Consider the following 8,511-nt stretch of genomic DNA (forward strand, 5'->3'; position numbering starts at 1 on the left):
ATATATCTTTGAAGACTTTCGTTTTTAGCTAAAAATGGAAATCTAAAATATCTTTGGGGAAATAACCAAACTACACTTGATGGGAGTTGCTACCTGCAGGTTTTGTGCAATTTTCTCTGAAATCAAATTATCCAAACCATCAACACTTTAATCTAAACCTTTTAGTTACCCCTGACATAGCAATATTCATGAAGTTATAAAACATAGAGTTATAAAAACATGGAAATCCAGTAAAATGTGTCATCTGTTTCTGACATACTTTGTAGTATTGTTACACTGGAGCATTAGGGCATAGAAAGATACAGGTAATTTTAAGGTATATTTTGCTGCATTGTTTTGACTGCAGAAAGCTAAACACTGCTTTTGGGCTTCTCTCTCTCCCCTCTTACAAAAAAACTCTAGGAAATAATATTTTTCAAGTAGATTATATGTATAAATGCTATAAGATCACTAAGAAATATTCAAAATAAGCATTAAATATTTTAATTAGTTTTATTTTTAAAATTCTTACAATATAATTCTTGTGTATCCACCTTTTTAGATGCCATGCTGCAGCTTGAAAATAACCTGTAGTGAGCTCTAAATAAACTCACCATCTGCTTATTCTTCCCTCATTTTTTCCTAGTGGGGTAGCTACTTGTATAGCTAAATAAAATGGTTGTATATAACTATTTTCAGTATGTTGATGTATGATACATGCTGAGTCCAAATTAAACACAAGCACACACACACACACACACACACACACCATACAACACAAAAGCAGCTCCCACCTTGCTTTGCAGAGCAAGTTTACCAAAAAGAGCTACTATGAAACCCTTTGTGGTGTCTGCCCTCTGCTGGTGCAAAGTAGAAATACAGGCCTTAACATTTTTGGACTTTTTGACATAGATAACATCTCTCATGAGCTCTTCACTTTACATCCAGAGCCTCCTCGCTGGACAAAGAAGCCTCAGAGTGCTGTGTATAGCACCGGAAGCAATGGCATCTTGTTATGTGAGGCTGAAGGAGAACCTCAACCCACAATCAAGTGGAGAGTCAATGGCTCCCCAGTTGACAGTAAGTTTAAAAACCAATTGCAATGCAATGCTGAAGGCCCTGGTTTGACGGGATTAATGATGGTCAGACGTGTGTAAAATGAAGTTGGTATGTGGTTGGATTAGCAGGACAGATACAACCAGCAAATCAGAGATTGTTTATTTCTAAGCAATTTGGTTGTTAAGACTTGATATTCATGGAAGAGCCATAAATAATATTTATACTGCCTGTGCCCTCTTATAAATTATATATAAGAATAAAGATTTTTAATTTTTAAAAAGAAAATTGAATGAGAAAGAGGATGCATCCAAGGAAAAAAGCCAATTATTGTTCCTGTCCCTGAGAAGAAACAGAACAGTAGCCTAGCAGCTGAGGGCACAGGTTCAAAGTCAGGACCTCCTTTAGGCTCAGGCAACAGCAACACCTGTCCTGGGCTCTGCCCTTTTAAGGGACTTGCTCTGATCACCCTCTGGTCCCGCTTGTCTCCATGATTTGAAAGCATCCTCAGGGAAAAGGAGGCATCCCAAGTCTGAACATGGTCCCATTACTGCCTATTTGCTACCAACCTCAAGCACAAAGACCTGAAAATCCCCATGCCCGGTCCACCCTGAGCCCACTCCAAATGGGCTGGGCGGGGAAAGACAGGAATGGCCCAGCACTGAGGGCCAACTCTCCCCATTTCACCATGCTCAGCATAGAGCTCCAAGGAGTCCCCAAATCTTCCACTGGAACCTAGAGCTCAGATTATTTTGGATGTCCTTGTTCAGGAAGAAGGATAGAACATATTTTTACGTGTCAATTGCTTAATTAAGAGCAGGTACGATAGTGGCTTCCATTTGTCCTTTTGCTCTGGGGCCTGCACAAGTCAAGGGTGAGCCACTTGGTGGATAACAGACCTCGGGTCCCGTCTAGGATGTGCACCTTGCCAGCTGTTTCATCTTGAGGTGTTTTCTGAATCTCCCCAAGCTTACGTTTTTTAAACTGCAAAATGGAGATAGTGGCGGTTGGTTGTGCTTGAATGAAAAAAAATGTGGCCAGCTGCCTAGGGCAGTGATTCATCTGTAGAGCACTGTGATGGTTTATAAACTCTGGAGCCAGACTGCCTGGGTTTGCATACTGACTCTACCACTTACTAGCTGCGTGACGGGGAGTATCACTGACCCTCTTCAAACCCATTTCTTCATCAGTAAATTGGGATAAAAATAACACTGACTCACGGGGTTGTTTTGTGGATTAAAGGAAACATCATGCAGAGAATGCTTAGCACGGGGACTGCCACAAAAACAGCCCCCCGTAAGGTATGGTTGGTTGGTATTGTTTTCCCATAACAGACACTCAGGAAACCTTAGTCCTCATTATTAACTATCTTCAGATTTGGGATTTTTCTCTTCATCTCTTTAGGGAACAGAATAAAAAATGAAAAATAATAATGAGGTTTTGGGTAGACGAAGGGAAATGAAAGCAACTTTTGTTTATAATGAATGTTCAGGTTACAAAAGTAAGGAACGCAGATTCTCCGGAACACAAAATCATAAAATATTATATTTGGATGGTATTTGGCTGTTTACAAAAGACATTCACAAATTACTTAGAATCCTCAAAAGAACTTTATAAAGGAGGTGCTATTATTCATATTTAACTGATTCGTTCATTCAATAATATTTATGGGGTACTTTCTATGTTCCCGGCACTGGACTTCATGCTTGAGATATACAACAGTGAATAAAATGGATGGAATCCTTGCTCTCCTGCCATTAGACAAATAACACATGAGTGTGTGCTATGGTGTGATAAAGCAGAAAATAGCTGGGTAAGGGCAGTGCCTGAAAGAGGTTCAGGACCCAGAGTTGCAATCTTAAGATCATAATAGTAAGACCCCTGTGGTAATTTACCTTTGAGTGGAGATGGGAAGGAAGTGAGGAAGTCAGCCACCTAAATAGCAGGGAAAGTGCTGTCTCAGTGGAGAGGTGTGTTGAGGAGGAGAAAAGAGGTGAGTGTGACTGAAGCTGAGGGAGTGCAAGGGGCAGCCCTAGGCCACCAGATCCGCCAGCAGGGGAAGGGGCCAGAGCTCAGGTAAAGATGAACATCGAAGTAGGGCCTTGGGATTTTGAGAATACACTAGGCAGCTCTTGGAGAATTTTAAGCAGAAGAGTGACACAATCTAATTTACATTTTTACAAGGTATTTTCCTGGCCTTTGAATGGAGAATGGACTGTGTGATTGATACTAGGTAGGAGGCCATCTGAGAGGCTCTGCGCTCAGGGCTAGATTGGTGGCAGTCATGGTTGGCTTCTGGATTTATTTTGAAATTGAGCCAATAGGTTTGTTAATGGATGAGGAGGTCAAGGCTGAAAATAAACTTATGCGAGACCACACAGCTGAATAATGGTAGACTTCAAACCAAAGCCAGGTGGCTGGAATCCAAGCTCGGTGTTCTGTTCACAGCTTTTGGCCCTGGCTCTACTTGTTGCCCTGCAAACAGGTCGTAAACTTTTATAGGCTGGGATATTTGATGACAGAGTGTTGGCTAGAGGATTTGAAACCTCTTTAAGCTTATTTTAGTTTTAGAGGTTATATATCCTTTCCCCATGTTATTTCAAAATTAAATCAAAATGATTGCTATTATTGATTATCGGACTAACCCTTTTCACATGCTTTGCATATGATATTTCTGAACCTCGTAGCAGCTTGAAAAATAGATTCTATTATTCTCCATTGGCAACTGAGACTCAGAGAGGTTACATTACTTACTGGAGAATGCAACCCAGGTACATTTAAAACCAGGAACTAAACCCAGGAAGGATTAACTCCAGAGCTGAAGTTTCGTCCATTTTATTGCATGATTTCTCACAGGGTTGACCAAAGACAAAACTGAGAAAGAATTTCTGAAGTATGTCAGGACTAGTGTGTTTTATAAAGACTTGGCCTTCTTGAATCCTGGGAGCTTCTGTTAGCCTTTGTCAATACACAACAATTTCCATACCCATGCCAACAGGCAGATTTAAGCAATGTTTAATTACTTAAATAAAGTATCATTTATATAGTCTAATTTCTTACTTTTGTAATGCAGTGTTAATTCAGAGCCATGCATGGATCAGACGGGATAAGGAGAACTAAATGGGAGGATGGCGTTAACTCTGAAAGTCTTAGGACCCTGAGTGGGGTGTGGAAGTGAAGAGTGGGATTAGAGACTCAGTGCTTTGCAGCATTCCTAAAGAGTTTAGCCTTTAAAAACTTGGAAGAGCTACTCATCTTGCTAATTTGCAAGAAATAAGTGATAAATTGTTCAACAGGATTGTATTAGTTTTCTAACATTGCTGTAACAAATTAAATTACCATAAACTTAGTGTCTTAAAATAGTGCATGTACACTATTTTACATTTCTGTAAAAGTCCAACACGAGTCTTGGCTAAAATCAAAATGTCAGCAGTGCCATGTCCTGGAAGTGCTTGGAGAGCATTCCTTCGTTTGCCTTTTCCAGCTTTTCCAGGCTGCCCACATTCCTGGCTCCCTTCCGCCATTTTGAAAGCCAGCTACACTGCATCTCTCTGACCATCCTTCCATGGTCACATTTCCCTCTGACCATAGCCAAGGAGGGCCTTCTGATTTTCAGGAGCTTTGTGATTACATTGAGCCCACTTGGGTCATCCAGATGTAGGAAATAATTTTCCTACCTCAATGTCCTTAATCTTAATCACATCTGCAAGTCCCTTTTTTCCATGTAAAGTAACAAAGTCATACATTCTGGGACTTAGAACGTGTACATCTTTCAGGGGCTATTGTTTTGCCTACTTACAGGGGCCTTTCAGGAATAAAGGTTACCCAACCTAACATTTTAAGTCATTCCAATAAGTATTTACTGGCTGGATTTTCTCTGGTAGCTGCTCTTTGGGCAGTGGGGACACACTGCACAACCTCACACTCAGGTCCTGCCCTTAGAGAGCTCACAGTCAAGTGAAAAAAATCTTCATTTGTGACTCCTAGGCAGAAAAAGATGTGTAAGTCTTTTATTTCAATATGTAGTATTCATGTTTTCTAGAACCTAAAGCTTAGTATAGTCATTATCTCGTATAATGGAGAGACAATCAGAAAAGTAGAATTCGATTGATTATTAATCTTGTAATGTCCTTTAAACTAAAAATTTTTGCATTTGTGCCCTTCCCTTGACATTTCCAGCTAACATGTTTTCCTTCCCACTGGATTTATATATATAAAATATATGTTATATATATATATATTATATACGGATATTATATATAATATAATAATATATATTTATATCTATATATATACTATAGATATAGATAAAGATATACACATACATAGTATCATAGCAAGGGCAGGGCTTTTAGAGTCAGAAAAGTGGCCAAATGTTGTGGGATGTGTCATCCAACTTCTCTGTAATCCAGTCCCCTCACCTTTAAAATGGCCATGTAAATGCTGATCCATCGAGTTCTGAGCAGTGTCAGTGAGATCATGCATGTGCCACATCCAGTAGAGTTTTTGGTCCTTAAATGCATCAGAAATGTTAGGTATTCTTTTTTTTCTTCCTTTTCTTTTTCTTCACTTTTATTTTAAAGTCTCTCTCCATCACCCAGTCTGGAGTGCAGTGGCGAGATCTTGGCTCACTGTAACCTCCACCTCCTGGGTTCAAGTGATTCTCCTGCCTAGCCTCCCAACTAGCTGGGGTTACAGGAGTGCACCACCACACCTGGCTGATTTTTGTATTTTTAGTGGAGACAGGGTTTTGCCGTGTTGGCTAGGCTGGTCTTGAACTCCTGACTTCAAGTGATCCATCTGCCTCAGCCTCCCAAAGTGCTGGGATTACAGGTATGAGCCACCATGCCCAGCCTCATGTTAGGTATTCTCATTTCCAAAAGATATTCCCAGAATTATACTTGGATCAGGAGTGGGGAAGGTTTTATTGCCCCAAAGTAGAAAATCTGGCCCTTTTTCTCAAGAAGAGTTTAGTCTTCCTGGGAAAATGAAATATACAAGCAATGTACATGAAGTGGTTAAATAGTGAAGCAAGGCAAATGAAATCAATGGTGCAGATCAGAAAACTGTAGAGAGGCAGAGAACTGAAACGGGAACAAAAGCGTCAAGGGGGAAAATAGCAGCCAGTACTGGTAGCTAGGGAGATCGTGATGTGTTGACCATGTGACTTGTGCCAGGCAGCATCAGTGTCTAAATTCAGAAGAGTAACAGAGTGTCACTTCATCATAGGTCTTGAATGCCTAAAGGATAATCCAGAATAGTGCCATGAGTATAGGTATGGAAATTCTGGGAGGTCCAGATGAGCAGATATTTTGTTGCTAAATATTAACTTGAAAGATAATTGAAAATTCACATGGATCTGGAAAGAAAAGTCCATAGTTGATGTTCAGAAAACCTAAAGAATTGGCTTCAATGAACTATTAGTCACCCTAAACTGGTTTGAAAATATAAATACTGTGTGACACATTTAATAAATGGTGTATAAATATTTTATGTCCTGTTCCTTATCAAACTGACATTCTTTAATCTCTTTCAGATCATCCATTTGCTGGTGATGTTGTCTTCCCCAGGGAAATCAGTTTTACCAACCTTCAACCAAATCATACTGCTGTGTACCAGTGTGAAGCCTCAAATGTCCATGGAACTATCCTTGCCAATGCCAATATTGATGTTGTGGGTGAGTGTGCCTGGGAGCTGACTTAACATGCTATTTTCCTAAGGAAAGTGGTCAAGGTCATGTTCAGAAGTGTATTAACTCTTGACACATAATATATGGAGGGAAAAATCAAACTACTTTTCACCATACATTTGAGTTTTAGACTTCACACTGAAATTGTACTTTCTTTTTTTTTTTTATTATACTTTAAGTTTTAGGGTACATGTGCACAATGTGCAGGTTAGTTACATATGTATACATGTGCCATGCTGGTGCGCTGCACCCACTAACTCGTCATCTAGCATTAGGTATATCTCCCGATGCTATCCCGCCCCCCCTCCCCCCACCCCACAACAGTCCCCAGAGTGTGATGTTCCCCTTCCTGTGTCCATGTGATCTCATTGTTCAATTCCCACCTATGAGTGAGAATATGCAGTGTTTGGTTTTTTGTTCTTGCGATAGTTTACTGAGAATGATGATTTCCAATTTCATCCATGTCCCTACAAAGGACATGAACTCATCATTTTTTATGGCTGCATAGTATTCCATGGTGTATATGTGCCACATTTTCTTAATCCAGTCTATCATAGATGGACATTTGGGTTGGTTCCAAGTCTTTGCTATTGTGAATAATGCCGCAAAAAACATACGTGTGCAGGTGTCTTTATAGCAGCATGATTTATCTTTGACAAACCTGAGAAAAACAAGCAATGGGGAAAGGAATCCCTATTTAATAAATGGTGCTGGGAAAACTGGCTAGCCATATGTAGAAAGCTGAAACTGGATCCCTTCCTTACACCTTATACAAAAATCAATTCAAGATGGATTAAAGACTTAAACGTTAGACCTAAAACCATAAAAACCCTAGAAGAAAACCTAGGCATTACCATTCAGGACATAGGCATGGGCAAGGACTTCATGTCTAAAACACCAGAAGCAATGGCAACAAAAGACAAAATTGACAAATGGGATCTAATTAAACCAAAGAGCTTCTGCACAGCAAAGGAAACTACCATCAGAGTGAACAGGCAACCTACAAAATGGGAGAAAATTTTTGCAACCTACTCATCTGACAAAGGGCTAATATCCAGAATCTACAATGAACTCAAACAAATTTACAAGAAATTGTACTTTCAAAAATGTATTGAATTGGGATACTTCTATAATTCAAAACAGACACCATAATATTCTGCTGTTTTCTGTTTGTATTCGTATGACTAGGACATAGAAAAATTTAATTTGCATATCTTTCTTCCACAAAAGTTTAAAACTGCGTTTATGTTATTTTCAAATAGATGTCCGTCCATTGATACAAACCAAAGATGGAGAAAATTACGCTACAGTGGTTGGGTACAGTGCTTTCTTACATTGCGAGTTCTTTGCTTCACCTGAGGCAGTCGTGTCCTGGTAAGCCGGTGGCTCATGGTTTTCTTAAGAGAATGTCAATTGTAGATTTGACCTTGTTTCTTCATCCGTCATTTGACAGGCTGTATTGTGTCTATATTGTTACATGTACCCAGTACCTCTGAGACATAAGGTAACAAACTTACCGGTCCAGGAAATTAGCTCTACTGAAAGCATTGGCTAGATTTCTAGGATTTTCTCACATAGAGACATACAGAGAGCCACTTGTGTTCATAAAGAAAAGCAGAGAATTGAAGAGATTACAGAGACAATTTTAAAGGTAGTTTTGGTTTTTCATTATGAGGTACCACAAGGTCATGTTTTACTCTATTGTTGTTGTTTTGGGATTATCTAAATGATTATCTAAGCTCGAATTTAATTCCAAATGCATGTGCTTAAGACTTTTCCAGCATTCA

General features: G+C 39.5%; 1 protein-coding gene across 18 annotated transcripts in view; it reads left to right on the top strand.

The window, feature by feature from the left end:
• CHL1 (cell adhesion molecule L1 like) overlaps positions 1–8,511 on the top strand; it is a 212,655-nt gene that overhangs the window by 156,950 nt on the left and 47,194 nt on the right. For all 18 annotated transcript variants that reach the window (XM_017005566.2, NM_006614.4, XM_017005572.2 and 15 more), the window contains 3 exons: positions 928–1,059; positions 6,572–6,712; positions 7,987–8,098. In XM_017005566.2, coding sequence (XP_016861055.1) covers positions 928–1,059; positions 6,572–6,712; positions 7,987–8,098 — 385 coding nt within the window. The remainder of the gene's footprint in view (positions 1–927; positions 1,060–6,571; positions 6,713–7,986; positions 8,099–8,511) is intronic.

This window comes from Homo sapiens, chromosome 3, assembly GCF_000001405.40.
Source record: "Homo sapiens chromosome 3, GRCh38.p14 Primary Assembly".
In the NCBI taxonomy this organism is placed as follows: Eukaryota; Metazoa; Chordata; class Mammalia; order Primates; family Hominidae; genus Homo; species Homo sapiens.